The 20126-nt window shown below is 37.1% G+C and overlaps 1 protein-coding gene across 4 annotated transcripts in view, besides 1 other annotated feature; it reads left to right on the top strand.

Moving 5' to 3' along the window:
* The window catches only part of DNAJC1 (DnaJ heat shock protein family (Hsp40) member C1), a 247183-nt gene that overhangs the window by 735 nt on the left and 226322 nt on the right, over positions 1-20126 (top strand). The window lies entirely within an intron of this gene.
* Positions 13302-13451: an enhancer, noted in NCBI's record as "active region_3124". NCBI's record gives its function as "activates an Ori minimal core promoter by ATAC-STARR-seq in GM12878 lymphoblastoid cells {active_cell/tissue: GM12878}" and the evidence as "EXISTENCE:reporter gene assay evidence [ECO:0000049][PMID:35858748]".

Raw genomic sequence — 20126 nt, 5'->3', positions numbered from 1 at the left:
TGACAGGCTGGACGGCGCCACTAGCCTAGGGTGGCGATGCCTTCTCTCTGCTCCGGCGTTCTGGGGAAGAGCCTTCCCCCTCCAGCTGTGCTGGAGGAAGAACGAAGAGTGGTGTGGGTAGACTTTTTTTTTTTTTTAATTTAACACCTACCTTTTGCCTTCCTGTCCCCCTGAATGTGAGAAAGAGCAGCCGCTTCTCACCCTAAACTGTCATCTTCCACCGATACTTACCTCATCCTTATTCTTATTTCAGCTGCCTCCCCTCCTCTTCCCTTCTGGGAAAGTAGGAATGCACTGTGGCCAGTGTCTGTGTTGCAAAAGTTTTTCTTACTTTGTACTTCGTCATCTTTTTAGCCTGTTAGGTAGATGTTTGTTTCGCTTTCGCAGTTTAGAAATCTGGAGGAATTTGAAGCGTCTAACCAGGTTGGAGGTGTTAAGTTTTTTGAGCAGCAAAGGACTTGGGATGCGATTGGAAGAGAAGCCCCCGGTCAGTAATGTAGGAATGGGTTTTTTTTTCCCCTTTTCCTTTTGTTTCATTTCGTTTTCTTCTATAGCTTAAGACATTAACTTGTAAAATCCATTTGTTGCTTTTTAGTTCTACCATTGAGGGTGGTTGAGTGAGGGTAGATATCCAGTCTCTACCTGAAGCCTTGTGCGAAGGAGAAGATAACATTTCGCTGATTTCAGGCTTATGGGGTGAAAAATGTACACTTCACACGATCTGATTGAGCCCTTCGTACAATGCTTTGAATAGTTATGGGAGTAAAAAATTAATGTTTACGATAGTTGCCATTCAAGGCACACTTCACATGACTAGATATGAAATGCACATCCCCTTCCCCCATAGGTTATCATAAATGTGGGTGAACTATTGAACTTTTACTGAATTTTAATTTTCAGACATTGCATTTTCATTCCATCAGTGAATATAAAATTGCTGGGTTGCCAGGGTACCATGAGTGAAACAATTTTTTATTTTTGTAAGAGTTATAAAGTATAGGCATTTCACACTTCAGATTCATATGTGCAAGCAACTTTGTAATAACTATATTTATGATCTGTTGCCTGGTGCCCCTCCCTGCTTATAGATACACTATATATCTCATTTTCAAAGCAAATGATGGAGTATGTGTAAAAATAATTAGTGAAGCTCTGATGACTTTTAAGAACTACTTTAATACTGGGAATAATTAGAATTTATCATTGATTACATTCTGTACGTAAAGAGAGTCTTAAACATAATCTATCCAGAAATCTTGAAGATCCAGTTATTCATGAAAAATTAAGTGCCTTTAAGAGAACAGAAATTTAGTAGCAGTTTAAAATTTAGATCATGTAATCTAGCTTTGCATGTGAACACTCATAGAATTTTCATTTATAATTTCATGTAACTTGATTTGCATAGTTAATTAGGCAGTGTGAACAACCAGAGCACTTGACTCTCTGGGCAAAGATGAGAAAATAAAGAAGCATAGATAATCAAGAAGATTCTTTGTCAAGGTAGAATCCGAAAAGAAGGATCCAGAAAATTGTTTTAACCTGTGTTTCTCTATCCAGCTGTATTAAAATTGGAAAGAATGCCAGGAGGAATTTTATTCTGTCCAAGCAGAGAAACTGAATGGAACAAGTTTTTTTCTTTACATTGAATCTTAACTTTGTTAGATGACTTTCAGGGACCAGAAATTTGGTGGAGACAAATGCAACCTGTCCAGGGTCTTTCATGTGTAGTTTTCAAGCCAGAGCCATTTGGTGACTAGCCAAACATGAGGGACCAGAACAAAGTAGGTAGGCTGCTGAAAGTGGTGACCTGGCTCTGTGCACTAATCTCTTCTTGTTCACGCAACAGAGATTTGTTTGGTGCCTATTGGATTTTAAGCATTGGGAGTTGACCTTTATATAAAACAAAACCCCTAAGCTTATAATTCAGTAGGGAGAAACAGACAGTAAACAGCCAAGTAAGTAAATATAAATGTTATATGGTCAGAGCAGGCCTCTGAGAGAAGTTAGGGAGTAAGCCATGTGGGTAATTGTTGTGTTGTAGGCCATTTGGGCTGCCATAGCAAAATGCCATGAACTGGACAGCTTTTCAACAGGAGAACTTGATTTCTCACAATTCTGGAGGCTGGGAAATCCAAGATTAAGGCACCGGCAGATTCTGTGTCTGGTGAGGGCCTTCTGGTCATAGATGGCACCTTCTTGCTGTGTCCTCACATGGTGGTACGGGCAGGGCAGCTCTCTGGGGCTTCTTTTATAAGGACACTAATCTCATCCATTAGGACTCCACCTTCGTGATATAATCACCTCACAGAGGCCCCACCTTGTATTACTGTCACAATGGGGATTAGATTTCAACATAAGAATTTCGAAGGACAAAAACATTCAGACCATAGCATGGTAGAAGGACATTCAAGGAAGAGCAGACAGTAAGCACAAAGGCCAGGAGGCAAGAGCTTGCTTAGCGTTTGAGGAATAGCAAGGCAGGCAGTGTGGCTGGAGCAGAGTGATCAAGGAAAACAGTAATGGGAGAACAGCAATAGGAGACAAGATCTGAGTCATAGGTGGTAAGGGAAGACCATGTAGGGCTTTGTAGGCCATTGTAAGGACTTCGGCTTTTACTTATAAGTAAGTTGGGGGAGGTGGTGTTTGAACAGAAAAGATACATGATTTGACTTGAATTTCAAAATGATCTCTTTAGTGTACTGAGTATAGTCTGTGAGGCATTAGTTACTTAGAGGGATAATTGTGGTATAGATTGGACCTGGGTGGTAGCAGTGGAGGTGGTGCAAAATGGTCAGATTCTGGATTGAATTTCAACATGGAGCAAACAGAATTTTACTGATGGCTTGAATGTGGTATGCGAGAGAAAAAGAGAAACTGAAGATAATTCTAAAGATTTTTGGCTTCAGTAACTGGAAGGATGCAATTGCCATTTGTTGAGATGGAGAAACCTGGACTAGGAGCCTGGTTTGGAGAACATCAGGAATTTGGTTTACGGACATGCTAAATTTGGGGTGTCTGTTAAACGTTGAAGTTGAGCTGGTATGTAGGCAATTGGTTATTCAGGTGTAGAGTTACAAGAAGAAAGTTTAGGGCTGTAGATAGGAATTTGGGAGTCCGAGGCACTTAGAGAGTAACTTGAAGCCACAAAACTGGATGAGTTCACCAAGGGAGTGAACGTAAAAGAGAAGAGAAGAGATCTGGGAGCTAATAAGCCTTGGGGATTCCAGACTTTAAGAGTCAAGGAGCCGGGTGTGGTGGCTCACGCCTGTAATCCCAGCACTTTGGGAGGCTGAGGCGGGTGGATCACGAGGTCAGGAGTTCAAGACCAGCCTGGCCAACATGGTAAAACCCCGTTTCTACTAAAAAGATAAAAATTAGCCAGGCGTGGTGGCAGGCGCCTGGAATCCCAGCTACTCGGGAGGCTGAGGTAGAGAACTGCTTGAACCCGGGAGGCGGAGGTTGCAGTGAGCCAAGATTGTGCCACTGCACTCCAGCCTGGGCGACAGAGCGAGACTCCGTCTCAAAAAAAAAAAAAAAAAAAAAAGAGTCAAGAAGATGGAGGGGAATCAACAAAGAAGATAGAGCAGGAACGACCAGTAAGGTAGGAGGCAAACCAATACAAGGTTCTCTTCAGTCAAGTGAAAAAAGTGTTTCAAAGACAAAGGGATCAGCTGGGTTAAATGATGATGATGATTCAAATAAGATGAGCTTTGAGACTTCACCGTTGGAATTAACCGTATGGCGGTCACAGGCTACCTCAGTAAGAACTGTTTTGGTGAAGTGGTGAGTTCAGTAGTCTGGGTAGATTGGGTTCAGGAGAGAATGAAAGGGAAGAATTGGAGACAATTAATATAGAACATTCTTTTGAGATATCCATATCCTAAACTAGAAGGCAGAGATGGTAGTGACTGTCTGTGGCATCTTCTTTATCCCCTTATCCACCAGGTATAAGATAACTCAGTTACTCTCTAAGCTCTATAATCTGAATAACAGATGACTTAGAACTTGGACCAGACCACCTTATGACCTTGGACAAGTTAGTTGCCTCATTTTTAGGACAGATGGTAGCTTTTTATTTTCTTCATAGTAAGGCACATAGTAAACACCTAAATATTTATTGAATCAAACATTATAAACATTGTAACTAAATGCAAACTGTAATTCCCCAAACAAGTAGTTGCTTGACAGTTTTTACTCAACAGATTTTACTTCTATGTAATCTTTCACAGCCTTCAGGCAGCAGAAGAATCTTCTTCCATGTATCCTTAGATTTCACGTCCATTCTAGAAGTCTAGAAAGGGGTTGCAGAAGTCTTTGTTGGGGGGTATATACAGATGATTTATTAGTCATTCATACCATGTTTAGAATGACTTTAATAATAGGGCACTCCAATTTGGATATTGCATCTTTTCAGAGGAGATGGGGGGAAGATGAGAGAGGAGTGTAGGAAAAAAGATGTGCTATTGAAAGATCTTTCGTTACCATCTTAAATTATAGGTTCCTGCACAGTATTTATATTTTGTGTAACAGCACCTGCTTCTCAGACACCTGTACTTCTTGTGGGGTCAGTGGCAATTCTGTATTTCTTTTTTTTTTTTTTTTTTTTGAGATGGAGTCTTGCTCTGTCGCCCAGGCTGGAGTGCAGTGGCGCGATCTTGGCTCATTGCAACCTCTGCCTCCTGGGTTCACGCGATTCTCCTGCCTCAGCCTCCCGAGTAGCTGGGATTACAGGCACCTGCCACCATGCCTGGCTAATTTTGTATTTTTAGTAGAGATGGGGTTTCGCCATGTTGGTCAGGCCGATCTTGCACTCCTGACCTCAGGTGATCCACCCACCTCGGCCTCCCAAAGTGTTGGGATTACAGGCGTGAACCACTGCGCCCAGCCTCTATATTTCTTTTAATTGTCTTTTGGGACCATGACTTTCCTTATCCTTTGTATACAGTAATTCTAGCCAACAGTAAACACTTCATATTCATTTAAAAAAATCTGTGAATTGAAATAATGACAAGCTAAATTATCTTAAATTTTGTAGTATTTACTTTATGCTGAAGTCAAGATTTGTCTTCATGGTGCCAGTCAGTCATTACAGACTTCTATTTATGTAGCTAGAAAATGTGCTTCATTCTCTTTCTCTCGTGTTTTATAACTAAATCCTTATATTCAAATGAATGCTGAAACTTGGTTAACAGAAGAAAAGCAGAAGAACAGGGATGTGCTTATAAAATATTTGGATTTTAATTTTTAGATAGGAATTAATAAACCTTTTAAGCTCATTCGGCCTGTATTTTCAAATGTACAGATTAGCTAGCCTGTTTAGAGGAGGGACAATTATTGCCCATTCATCCGTGCCCCATGGTTGGGAGGAACTTCCCTAAAAAAACACCACTGATCACTAGACCCATCTCTAACATCTTACCATGGCGGTGTGAGTTACCTTACTGGAGGGTGATTGCCTTTGCTCTGTTTTGCTTGATTAGGAAGAGCTGATCAGTCAGAAAGCTATGAGTAGTGGGAATCAGTCTCTTTGCACCTCTCTGCCCAGACCAGTAAGGCAATTATCCTAACCAGACTTACCCTTGAGCATACTGTCTCAAAGTCTAGAATGTAGAGGAGAGGGCACAAATTGCTAGCAAGCCCATTTGGCCATCACATTTAACCTGTATTCTTCAATAGCTGTATCAGTTATAAAGGTTCATCTCTTGTCTGCCCGACTCCTGTGTCCACTCAGTTTTTTGGATGGGAAAAACCAGTTAATGGGGCCTCCCTAAAGCCCATCACAGTCCTTTTTAGAAATGAAGATGATGATTTCATTCATGAATGATGGTGAATTTGTACTGTGATTATCAATTTTGTCCAGTGATTCTTGCAGTGGAATCCACTGAGCTTGTGGTGTTGAGTGTAGTTCAGTCTTTCTCTGTGGAGTCTATTCCTTTGTACATGTGTGTTGTGTAATAATAGCTTCCCCATTTTTATTGTAGAATCCAATTTTTTTTAATTTGGAGAAAGAGATACACAGAATCTAGAATGGTAGATAACCTTTCAGTCATTTATATTTCTGATGTAGGCATGCATAGCGTTAGAGCTGAATAAGTACTTGTTTAATTGTATACATCTTTGCATCAGATAGAATTATCATAAAATTAGTTTTCTTATGTACACACTCTTTTTGTGATATGTATAGTTTAGTGGAAGATGCCTGAGCCAATTTTATGGGATAAAGCAAGTCTATTGTGAAAATTTTGCCACATATAATCTAGAGCTGATGGAACAGAGACTTTCTTTTAGTTTTAAGTTTCCTTTTTCCTTTTATGCTATTCTCAGTTTTTTCTTTACACTAATTATGAGAACACTCTTAGAATATTGTATCTTTTGTTATTCATAGACAATAGCCTAAGTTGAACTGGGAAAGTGGAATGGCTTCTGCTATTACAATTATTCCTAGAAATATATTCTAAAACGTTATATGGGTTACCAGTTTACCTAGTGATTGGTTTAATGTGGTTAATTTCACAATCATATTTTGTTCAATGTTGAGAATAAAACAGAGGTTGAGGTTATTTGACTTGATTGCTGAGAGGAGAATTTATATGGCAGTTGTAAGTAATGCCAATAAAAGTTGTTTGATAAAATGCCTAGTGTCTGTAATAAACCTTTTCTCAGCTTTGTTATGCTCTCTCTCAGTGAACTGCTTATTCCATAAATGGTACTATGTGACTTTCAGAACTGTTTTCCACTGTGGGCATTATTGGGTCTGTTTAGACAGTAATGATACCAGTTAATTCCACCTAGTTGAAAACAATTCCAAAGCCTTTCTTACAGAGTTATACAAAAATAAAGGAAAGGAATTGCAGTGGAAAGAGAGATTTCTGATTGGATGAAGCAGGACCCTAGATCATTTTATAATGAAGTCACAGTCATATTTTCAAAAATCTTTATTTTCATCAAAACACTTAATTGTAAAAGATGGGCCCTATACTAATGAATGTAAAAATATGATTACATGTTTTAAATAACAGCATAGTATTTCATTTTAAGAACTGAATAGTTGATATTTGAGTATTACTTATATTTACTGAAATTTTTTGTCTAAGCGTGTCATAAGGACCTAATTAGAAATTTAATCTAGAATTTATGTTTCATTTCCCATCTTATGTAATACTAAATTAAGCAAGGTGAGGATTCATTCACCATATTTGATAAGTGTTTCTGATTACATCATCCAGCAACTGAAATCTCACATGTAACCAGGCATATTGCAAAAGCAAGGGCATGCCACGTTCTACATTTTTGTTAGAATATGTGTATAAAACAGTATACTTCATTATCAGATGGATGCCTGTTTTATTGCTACTGAGGCAGTAGGCATTAAGCTCTGTGCAGCTACACAGTTAACTAATATATTTGAGTTGCTTAATATTAAAGCTAATAATCTAAGATCAAGAATTAAAGGACATGCCATAGTATATGCAGCAGTGTTAAAATGGAGAAGAGCAACGTTAAGATGCCACTAAGAGCAAATACTAGAATTCTAAAATGACGTAATTTCCTTGGTTAAACACATTCTGGAATACATACAACTCCTGGTTATAGAAGGAAATAGAATTTTAAACTGTTACATGAAACTCAACTGTGGCCTGTATAGTGAGCAGTAGTCAAAATGAGTTATGACCAGAAAGAAAAAGATCATTGTTGCCATTTACTGGGAAAGTATGAATAGACCATGAAGAAATCTTAGGGTCCGTACACATGAGGAAGGTAGAAACTTCTTATTTCTAGTCAATACTTAAGGACTTTATTTATACCATTAAAACAGGTCAGGTTAAGGAATCTATTCCATGACCAACTGAATTTATACTTTAAAAAGAAACCTCTGACTTTTAGAAAATTTTTTTTAATTGCAAATCTTATTGGCAGTTATTTTCAATTACCACACTTTTCGTTAACAGATAAGATTACTATTTAGGTTCTTTTCTGACTTAAAGTGGTGCTTTGTATTGATAGTTGGTGATTAAGTTTGATTTGCGGAAGTTAACATGTATAAATATATATAATATATTAATATATAAGTATATATAATATAAATATATATAAAGTAGGAAGTCTGGAAATTGTGTTTTAATTATATCATACAATATTTCTTTATGGATCTTTTATATGTAGTAGGAAATAGACTTCTTGTGTGTTTTTTTGTTTGTTTGTTTTGAGACAGAGTCTCGCTTTGTCACCCAGGCTGGAGTGCAGTGGCGCGATCTCGGCTTACTGCAAGCTCTGCCTCCCGGATTCATGCCATTCTCCTGCCTCAGCCTCCCCAGTAGCTGGGACTACAGGCGCCCGCCACCATGCCTGTCTAATTTTTTTTTGTATTTTTAGTGGAGACGGGGTTTCACCGTGTTAGCCAGAATGGTCTTGATCTCCTGACCTCGTGATCCACCTGTCTCGGCCTCCCAAAGTGCTGGGATTACAGGTGTGAGCCACCGCGCCTGGCCAACTTCTTATGTTTAAAGCATTTTAGTTTAGACATTTGATAAAGTTCAAATGACAGCCATGTTGTGCAGTTCTATAGTAGTTTTACACAATCAATGAGTGACTTTTTATATCACACGTTTGGAAGTATATAAGATTTAACTTAAAGTAAATTAGATTGATTTTGCAAGTGTTTATTGTGGAAAGCTTCACAGTTTTTCAACATGCTGCTGTCTCTTAAAACATCACTGAAGCTTCTTGTTTTGAATTGCCTTCAAAGCTTGCTGCATATTCTTCACATTAGCCTCATTAGTAGTAAATCTTAAAGTTGGGTTTGATTTTTGGCTATAGCTAACAGTCATTTGGAGCTAAATTTGGTGACTAAATTAGGTTAGCAAGCTCGGATAAATACTTTGTATTGATAAAAAGATCTGAATATACATTTCATGTAATGCTGATAGACTGCCTTGAGGACTGTTCTCAAAGAAAAGTCCCAGAGAAGTTTTGAGTGATATTGACACAAAGTAATAAATCTGTAGCTTTACAAGGTAGTAGAAAGTATTAGAGCAAATGACTCTTGGACTACTTATTACTTCGTGGGTAGCAATTTTTTTAAAAAAAGTTTGCCCGCAGGATAAAAATGGGTAAAAAAAAAGTGATCTTAATTTTAGAGAAGTGGGAAAATATAGAGCTAGAAGAAAATATTTCAATTATCTGCCTGCTTTTAATATTAAAAACAAAGATCATGATAGTATTCATTATATATTTCTATAATAAAGCAAGTTAAAACCGAGTGGCAGAGGAATTAGAATAATGTTAGAGATAGAGGTAGTAGCTGAGAATACCACTGAGGAAGAAAGCAGGATACACATAGAAACGTATACAGAAAAAATGCATAAATACAAATATAAATGAAAATGGAGTAATATCTCCATCTTGTGGCCTTCTTTGGATATTGCTATTAAAAATGTTGAGGGGTTGTATTTTCACAACTGTAGGCATAAGTAAGAATAAAATATGAGACAGACGAAAACAAAATACGAGTCAGAGAGTTCTTGCAGTATTTTGCAGGGCCTTTTAAGACCGAGCTTCCCAATTGGTGTGCTGCAAGCATGCTGAGATAGTGATGCCCTGCCTTGAGCAGCCTTAACAGTTTCCTCCAGTGTGTCTTACAAATACAATTTTCTGTAACGTGCCATGGTATGAAAGAGGTTGGGAAAGCACTGCTAAGGCATGCAGTTCTGATGCTTTTCTTCCAGGGGAAAATTTATGAGCGAGAGGGTGCAGGTGTGTGTGCGTATGCATTTATATACTTATGTGTGTATAGTAAATATATTTATAAATTTATGAGTGTATAGGCTGAGTATATAAATTTATGAGTATAAAATGTTCAGCTTGTAAAGTATATATATATGGTAAATATAAAAGTATATATGTAAACATAAAATTGTTTTATAAAATGATTCTTATCAAAATGTTTCCTATACTAAAGATCCTTGTTTAGCTCTCGTAGAAACAAAAGTATTGTTAAAGTATGGCCGAGGGAATTTAGATAGAGACGAAATCAATAAGTCTTTGATTAATTAGCATTCTTTACTTGATTACTTAGCCTGGATGTCAGAATGGCCATTAAATGTTACCAAAGTTTACAATAACTCCAGAGTAATACTTTAATGATCTGTAACGATCCACTGTATGAAGAGGATACAGATGACTTTGAAATGTATAAATATTCAAATTCTGGGTAGCCTAAAGAAATATTTTGTGACACTAAGGGATAAGATAATATTTTACATATAAATCATGACTGACAGATATTTCAGATTTTTGACAGCTGACACACTTTTTCAAGCCATTGATCCCTTAGAGCAGCACTGTGCAATAGATATGTGATACAAAACACAGAGGTGATGTTAAATTTTCTAAAAGTCACATTTAAGAATGTAAAAAACAGATGAACTTAATTTTTTTTTTTTTGAAATGGAGTCTTGCTCTGTTGCTCAGGCTGGAGTGCAGTGGCACAATCTCTGCTCACTGCAACCTCGTTCTCCTGGGTTCAAGCGATTCTCCTGCCTCAGCCTCCCTAGTAGCTAGGATTACAGGAGTGCACCACCATGCCCAGCCTGAAATTAATTTTGATAATGTATTTTATTTAACCCAATATACTAAAATATTATTCCAACATGGAGTCACATTTTCAAAAATTACTATTATTTTTTGAGACAGAGTCTCGTTCTGTCGCCCAGGCTGGTGTGCGATGGCACGATCTCAGATCACTGCAACCTCCGCCTCCCGGATTCAAGCAATTCTCCTGTCTCAGCCTCCCAAGTAACTGGGACTACGGGCACATGCCACCACACCCAGCTAATTTTTGCATTTTTAGTAGAGACGGGGTTTCACCATATTGGTCAGGCTGGTCTCGAACTCCTGATGTCAGGCGATCCGCCAACCTTGGCCTCCCAGAGTGCTGGGATTACAGGCGTGAGCCACCATGTCCAGCCAAAAATTATTAATGAAGTATTTCACATTTTAATTTTTTGTACTAAGTCAGCAAAATCCGTGTATGTTTTACATTTATACTTCTAGCACACCTTAATTTGGAAGCCAAATTTTGATTGAAAATACTTGATCTGTATTGAGATTTCATAAGGCATATAGCTAACAGGTACATTCACGTACCCAAATCGTTATAAGCAAAACTTTCCAGTAACTCAGTAGAATATCAGTTTTTCAATTTAAATATAAATTAATTAAAATTTTGGTTTCTCATTTGTACTGGCACATTTTAAGTGCTTAAATATGCCTAATGCTTATTGGATAGCATACATTGGATAGCCTTAGGGAATTAACATTTCTGTATTGTGTAGATATAGCTAAATGTTTTTGGATAAAATCACTGATTATTGTTTTTCACTGACTATTGTTTCCATTTTGTTAGGGACATAGTTTGTAGTTTTCGTATTTTTTTAAACCCAGTGTAGCTTTTGTTGTTTTGTTTTTAGGTTGTTCCAATTGTGCTAGCTATCATATTCCTAGTTACTTATCTATAGTATACATTTTGACCATGCTTTGTTCTGTAAAGGCTATTGGTATAAAGTTCATGCTGTTCTAGGAACATTGGTTGTCTGAACTTCCATGCATAGGCTTGTCTGCTAAGGGTGGTTTCAGGTAATCACTTTAATTAAAGTTGGTCATTTACTTTTGCTAGCTCATCTATTATATTTTATAATTCTTTAAGTGTTATTTATTAACAGTATATTAGGTCGTTAGTGATATTTTGACCAGGAAATCACTGGAGTTCCTATTTTGTAGTTTTAGCTTTCAGGGTGCCCATTCTCCCTATTCTGAAACTCATACATCTTATATATTGCTAGCTATGAAATATTCACTATATTCTTTCCTGTCATCTATTTTGATTATTATAGTATCTTTAATTAAATGATTTAGAATAGAGATTGCTAGGTGCATTTCTATTTGTGTGCCAATCTGTTGGCTCTTTATAATACCAATCAGGGATTCTAACATCACCCTTTTTTACTAGCTGCCTCTGCTACCTTTTCATAACTCCTAATGAGTACACCTTTACTTTGAACTGAATGATTAATTAACGATCTTTTTGCCTTTACCTTTTGTAATTTCATAAATAGCTGAGAAAAAGAAGTAGATTTTACTGTTGACAGTTCTTACACATACTTAGCTCCTGTTATTTCAAATGGACTTGGTACATCCAGGAAATTGTACTGGTGTCCAAGATCTTAAACATTCTATGCTGAGGGAAAAACAACAACAAAACAAAAATTTTAAAACTGACAATAGAGTCCTGAAGTTGGTGGAGACCTCACGAGTTTCTCTTTCCTTATATAGGAGTCTCTTCTGTAGCACTCCCAGCAGATGGTCTTCTAGCCTGTTTGATGGTGTCTAACCATAGGGATTATGAAACAACCTGTTAAGTTTTTGTATAATACTACTCAGTGGAAATTTTATTCTTAAAGCCCAAATCATAATTCTTATCTACTTTCAACATGCTCACTGTCTTCTGGAGTACCCCTGAACATATACTTCTTCTAAATAATTTTTCTTTGTGCCTTAAAATAAAATGCACAAGGGAAATAATTATTTGTTGATTTTCTCCACACAGTAAGGCCTTTTTTTAAAAAAAATACATCCAAACTGAGGGGGCTACTTGTTTTCATTGTCTTTAGATATGTACCAAGGCCACCCTAAAGAAGATGCAAGCCACCATAGTTACAGTTGTCTTGGCACTGTATTAGGCATGATTTGTGGTTACTATATACAATTCCCAGGGTTTATCAAAGTCAGCAATAGGAAATTTATGGAAGATTGAAAAATAAGATGATTTCTTGTATGCCATCTTTGATAATAGAGGCCACAGAATAAACTTAATTAAAAATGTAGCCAGAAATTGCTATAGACTCTTGAAGCAGCACCCCGTGTATAGTTGTGCAGTTTGTGTATCTGCTTCAAACCTGTCATTGTGTTATAAAAATGTTTTAGACTTTGGCATTGTTAAGAATTGCACATAGGTGGTTAAACTGTGAAGTAAATAATTTCTCTTTGATAATTGAAATATTATGTTTCTGCGAGTGGAATTTTAATTTTCAGGCCCATCTTGAGTGTGAGTTTCTCTCTCCTCTCTCTTCACCTCTCCCTAGTGGCTTTATAGATGTTTTTACTCTTTTCTCTGAGACACCTAGGCAAGAACTAGGTCTTATATAGGTGGCTTAGGGCTCCCTCCTGAGGTTACATTGGGGCCATTGCAGATCCAGATACCAAGCCTGCAGGTCCCTTGGCCTGGTCTGGACTGTGGGGCTAAAACCATTGCCTCTTAACATCTCAGATACATAATGTTTTGTAAGTTGTAGCCTCAGGCAGTGTCCTTCTCACTTTCGCATTTTTTTTTCCCCACAGGCGGTGGATTGCCACTGCATCCCCTGATTTCAAGCAGCAAGCCTGGCTGTGATCCCAGGCCTTGGTAGAGTACTTTCAGTCCTCATCACTCTATGGGAGTCAGACTTCTGGTTTCGTCTGCCTACTTGTAGTCATGGAGCCCAGGAGGCTTATAGCTTAACCTCTGTTTATGGCTACAGGTTTTCTTTTGTTTTTGTCTACAGAGATGCTTAACAAGTTTTTGATCATGGCTATATGTTTATAATTTTCTCTCTTTAAATTTTAACATTGGTATATGTTTGGAATGGGGTTTCGGAGGAAGTCCCTCAAATACTTAGAGTGCAGTTTTCATGTTGGAACATTTTTAAAAGCTACATTTATTTTATAATATTATTTTTTAATGTTCATTTTCTTATTATCTGAGAACCTTTTGCCACTTATCATCCAGAACTATGGTCAGGTTGTTTATTCACAGTAATTTAAGAGGCTATTAGGCATTGAAAGAGACAGTCTACCATTCCATCCCTGTTCCTTTCTAGCAACTGTTCCCAGACTTTATTCAAGTCTGGGGGTAAAACAGTCAAGTAGCATTTCTAAAATAATCAAATCCCACGAGGTTTTGAATATAGTGATAAATAAGTCCATTATCTCAGAATGACATATATGTCCCTGTTATTGGAGATACCCAGAGGAGAGTCCTGAACTGTCGTGAAACTATTTAGAAAAATTTGCCAGGTGGGAAAAGAGATATTGAATCTTAGGTGCGTGTCAGAAAAACATGGGCTAGAGAAAATTAATCCTCCTAAAGTTAAATTATATGCAGATAATTTCATGTTGACCCTTTATAAATATATTTCACTCACAAACCTCTGAAGAAGACTTTCTGGGGTAAATAACATTTGTTTTCTTATAATCAGTCTTCAGAGATTCACAAAAGAAAACATAGGACAATGAGGCTAACCCTCACTAAAGACTGTTTTAATAATCAACTTAATGGACAATACTAAAATTTTAGAATTCATTGGATATTAGCTTCATAGAATTAAGCGTGATCCTTAATTGAAGCTTTAAGCAGTTTATAGAGTACACATTTGGAACATACTTTAAATGATATATTTTTAAGGAAAGAAATATGTAATTCAAATTTATAAGAGAAGATAAAGGGCCCTTTCATTTTGGAATCGTAGGATTTAGTCAGTTTTTGTATAATTTGAGGAGCACATCGATTTTTTAATTATTATTATATGCCTTTAATATTGAGTTGTTAATCTAAGAGGTCTTTTGAGGGTAACAACATGGAAAAGAACAGTAGTGTAATGATCTTTTAAAAAGACATTTTTACTTATAGGCAGCTGATGCCTTTCTAACATGGATAACAATACTCTGTACCAGTCCTCTGTGTTTTTGTGACACAATAGAATATGCACAGCTACTTAGATTATGTTAAGAAATTTTGATAATAAAGCCTGCTTTTCATGTTTGTTAATTCATTAGTTCTTTTTACAGTATTACTGTAAAATAGTAAAGAATGAGAAATAAATTCTAATAATAAGGAGTGTATTTGAGTAAATTATGACACATTCTTGGTGTGCTGTGAAATCAGTAGTAATATATGTGAAAACTACATAGCAACATGGAAAATACATACAATGTTAGTGAAAAAAAGCCAAATATCAAGTTGTATTCAGATTTTATTGTAATTTTGCAGGATTATATGTGCACAAGGGCAAGTCAGAAACATGGGCTAATGAGAAGAGTTTGAATTGTGGGACTGGTGGAATTCTATTTAGGGGCAAATATTTCACTTAGAGTTCTGCTAATATTACTAACATATATCCGTGTAGATTATATTACTTTGGAAAGAAGAGTGTTGTACAATTAAAACACATTGGATAAATTAACAAATGTTTTCATGTTTATGAGATAAATCATATGGATATTTTGAAGGCTTTAACCTATAATCTATTGAAGGTTATAAATGGGAAATTAAATGAGGTAATTTTTTTTCAAACAGCCTGGGTTAAATGAAGTAGATTTGTTGTCTATGATCAATAAAAGTGCTTGCAAATATACTTACAGTAAGCTGTGGGTATAATTCTACATTCTGGTAAACACCATGTTATCCTGACCAAGAAAGCTAACCTTGAGGATGAGACCACAGTTTAGTGCCTCTAATCTTTGTATTACACTTCTGAAAGCTTTTGTATATACTGTCTCTCTTTAATTCAAATATTGTAGATACTAATGAACAACCAACTATATTATTGTATTTACTCTTTAAATCCTCATAGTGCTTAAAGGTTTAGAGCTGTACTGTCCAGCACTATAGCCACATGTGGCTATAGAGCACTTGAAATGTGGCTAGACTAAGAACATTAAATTTTATATTGTATTTGATTTTAACTCACTTAAAATTTGAAAAGCTGAGGGAGTATAAAATGTTTTCCCATTAAACATAATTTTATTGTTTGGATAAGACTATATTTCATTTATTTCACTTTAACTATCAGAAATTTGGCTTCCGAATTGATATGTATTGTTAAAAACTATACATTGGGCTGGGCGTGGTGGCTCACACCTAATCCCAGCACTTTGGGTGGCCAAGGAGGGTGGATCACTTGAGGTCAGGAGTTTGAGACCAGCCTGGCCAACATGGTGAAACCCCGTCTCTACTAAAAATACAAAAAATTGTTGGGTGTGGTGGCAGCTGTCTATAAGCCCAACTACTCGGGAGGCTGAGGCAGGAGAATCGCTTGAACCTGGGAGGCGGAGTTTGCAGTGAGCTGAGATCGCGCCATTGCACTCCAGCCTGGGTGACAAGAGCAAGATTCTGTCTCAAGAAAAAAAACAAAAAAAACAAAAAATTTCCCAGCCAAAGTGTTAGCAAGCTGAATCTAGCAACATATAAAATGGATTAAACACCATGATCAAGTGGAATTTATCCCAGGAATGCAAGGTTGGTTTAGTACCTAAAAATTGATTAATATAATATTACATATTTATAGAATAAAGAACGAAAAATATGATCATCCCAGATAGAGAATAAAACTTTTGAAAGACTCAAACATTCATTAATGATGAAAACTCTCAACAAACTAGGAATAGAAGGTAATTTCCTCAACCTAATAAAGAGAATCCAAAAACCTATCTGAATAGACACCTTACCCAAGAAGATATACAAATGCTAATAAGCACATGAAAAGGTACTCAATAGTAGTAGTTATTAAAGAAATGCAAATTAAATCCATAAGGAGATAACATATTATGCCCACTAGCATAGCTGTAATTAACATGAAGGACAGTAAAAAGCACTGGTGAGGATGTGGAAAACCTGGAATACTTATGCATCGATGGTGGCAAGGTAAAATGCAACTACTTTGGAAAACAGTGTGGCAGTTGTTTTTTTGAGATGGAGTCTCGCTTTGTCACCCAGGCTGGAGTGCAGTGGCTCACTGCAAGCTCCGCCTCCCGGGTTCACGCCATTCTCCTGCCTCAGCCTCCCGAGTAGCTGGGACTACAGGCACCCGCCACCACACCCGGCTAATTTTTTGTATTTTTAGTAGAGACAGCGTTTCACCCTGTTAGCTAGGATGGTCTCCATCTCCTGACCTGGTGATCTGCCCGCCTCGGCTTCCCAGAGTGCTGGGATTACAGGCGTGAGCCACCGTGCCCGGCCGTGGCAGTTTTTTTTTTAATAAAAAAGTTAAACTTAACATTCATCTCAGTTCCTCCTAGGTATCCACAGAAGAGAAGTGAAAATATTTGTCCACACAAAGACTTGTACATGAGTGTTCATTGCAGCATTATTCATAATGTTAGCCAAAAATTGGAAACAATTCCAAATGCCTAGCCACCCTTGAATGGATGAACAAAATGTGGTGTATCCATTCAGTGCAATGCTATTTAATATTTGGTAGAAAAAGAAAGAACTTCTGGGATAAACCACAACATGGATGAATTCCAAGAACATTATGTTAAGTGAAAGGATTCAGACTCAAAACAACTACATGTATGATTTCGGTTATTTGAACTGTCCAGAAAAGGCAAATAATATATAGAGATGGAAAGCAGGTGGCTGGGCACGGTGGCACACGCCTGTAATCCCAGCACTTTGGGAGGCTGAGGTGGGTGGATCACTTGATGTCAGGAGTTCGGGATCAGCCTGGCCAACATGGTGAAACCCCACCTCTGCTAAAAATACGAAATTAGCTGAGTGCTGTGGTGCATGCCTGTGATCCCAGTTACTCGGGAGGCTGAGGCAGGAGAATCGTTTGAACCTGGGAGGCAGAGGTTGCAGTGAGCCAAGATCGTGCCCCTGCACTCCAGCCTGGGCAACAGAGTGAGACTCCATTTCAAAAAAAAAAAAAAAAAAAGCAGGGTAGTGGTTTGTCTGGGGATGGGGATTGATTGCACACGGATGGGAGAGATCTCTGTAGGATGATAGAAATATTCTAAGGTGGGATTTTGGTGATGGTTGCACAACTCTATAAATTTATTAAAATGAATTATACTCTTATAATGGGTGGATTTTATGTTATGTAAATGTACCTCAACCAAGCTGTTGGAAAAATAAGACGTTATTTTATGGGAAATTTTCAGAATTTTCTAAATTGAGTCTTATTTGATAGATTAGTCTGTAAAAGAACTTAAATTGTGAATTATGATATATCTGAGCATTTAAACATTTTCACTCTTTGGCCTCTTCATACATACACATGCACACACAGACACAACTGTGTGTAAACTGAGTACACAAGGTTATTTCTACTGTTGCATCTATGCTGTCAGAACTTGGTCTCACTATGTTTTTAGTTTTGATATTCATTAAAATGTAATTTCTTTAGTGTACAGTGTCTTAAAGACTTGTTAATATGTTTATGTCTTTTGATTAGATTTTATACTTTCTAGAAAAGTTCCCAAATAATAATGCTGAAAGCTGAAATTTCAGAAGAAAAAATGATTTTAAATATATATGGCAGACTAATCACCTATCCATTCTCCTTTTAGTAGAACTCCTATGTTATTGGATATTGGGGTTTAAAAAGTACATTTTTCTGCCTTCTTTACAGGTAGTGGTGGCAGATGAGCAGAAGACATGGGTTGGGCTTCTGGTAAAGCTCTTAAAGGGTGACACACCATTTTACCCTTGTTTATTCCTTCTTTTCTGTTCACTGGGATTGGATGAGATGTATGTAGCTACTGTACCAGATATCTTGCAACTTGAAGTGACCTTCAGAAGCTAAGAGGAGAGACATAGTAGTGGCCTGGGTCCTTGTGACCATAACTGCCCCTGGAACTGCTTTACTTCTATTCTTCTTGTATGTAAGAGAAAAATAGACTTCTATCATTTTTTAAGCTGTTATTTGGGGTCTCTGTTTATAAGCAGCCAGTTTCTGATATACCGTTCTTACCTACCTGTATGAGGGGTTGTTCTTTAAGTAATTTTTCTATTAAAATTTTTTATGTAAAAGCAAAGAAAAAGTAAATTTAAAAACATTAGAAGAAAACCACTTTTGATATTTTTGTCTATAGAATTTCAGGTTTTTAATCTTCATATATCTTTTTTATTGGCCTCAGTAACTGCTCATACTGTTAACTGCACCTAAAATTTCTTTTGACTCCTTATGTGAGTTGTGAGTACAGTATGTAAACTGCTTTTTTGTTTTTTATTGTAGTAAAATATACATAATGTAAAATTTACCATTTTAACTGCTTTAAAGTATAAAAACCAGTGACACTAAGTACATTCACAACATTGTGCAACCATCTTCATTATTCATTTCTAATACTTTTCCGTCATCCCAAACAGAAACTCTGCACCGATTAAACAACTTACCGTTCTTTCCTCCCCACCAGCTCCTGGTAACCTCTCATCTACTTTCCTTTTTTTTTTTTTTTTTTGAGACAGAATCTCGCTCTGTTGCCCCGGCTGGAATGTAGTGGTGCAATCTCTGCTCACTGCAGCCTCTGCCTCCCAGGTTCAAGTCATTCTTGTGCCTCAGCCTCCCCAGTAGCTGGGATTTACAGGCGAGTGCCACCACACCCGGCTAATTTTTGTATTTTTAGTGGAGACAGGTCTTCGTTTGACAGGCTGGTCTCGAACTCCTGGCCTCAAGTGATCTGCCTGCCTTGGCTTCCCAAAGTGCTGGTATTACAGGTGTGAGCCACTGCATCCAGCCCCTCTAATCTACTTGCTTACTCTTGAATTTGCCTGTTATAAGCACTAGATATAAATGGAGTCATATAATATTTGCCCTTTTGTGTCTGGCTTATTTCACTTGTCTTCATAATGTCTTCAGGTTTCATTCATGTTGTAGTATATCTCAAATTTTCATTCTTTTTTAAGGCTGAATAATATTCCATTGCGTGTATATACCACTTTTATTTATCCGTTTATCTATTTTTGGACATTTAGGTTTTCAGCTTTGGCTATTGTGAATAATGCTGCTATGACCATTGGTATACAAGTATCTGTTTGAGCCCCTGCTTTCAATTCTTTTAGGTATATACCTAGAGGAAGAATTGCTGGATCATATAGTAATTCTATATTTAACTTCCTTTGTTTTTGAGACAGAGTCTTCCTCTCTTGCCCAGGCTGGAGTTGAGTGGCATGATCATAACTTGCTGCAGCCCCAAACTCCCAGGCTCAAGCAGTCCTCCTGCCTCAGACTCCCAAGTAGCTGGGATTATAGATGTGCGCCATCATGCCTGGCTAATTTTTTAAAAAAATTTTTGTAGAGAAAGGGTCACAA

Source organism: Homo sapiens, chromosome 10 (assembly GCF_000001405.40).
Source record: "Homo sapiens chromosome 10, GRCh38.p14 Primary Assembly".
In the NCBI taxonomy this organism is placed as follows: domain Eukaryota; kingdom Metazoa; phylum Chordata; class Mammalia; order Primates; family Hominidae; genus Homo; species Homo sapiens.
The sequence above is the reverse complement of the archived record's forward strand: the minus strand, read 5'-3'. Positions and strand labels throughout refer to the sequence as shown.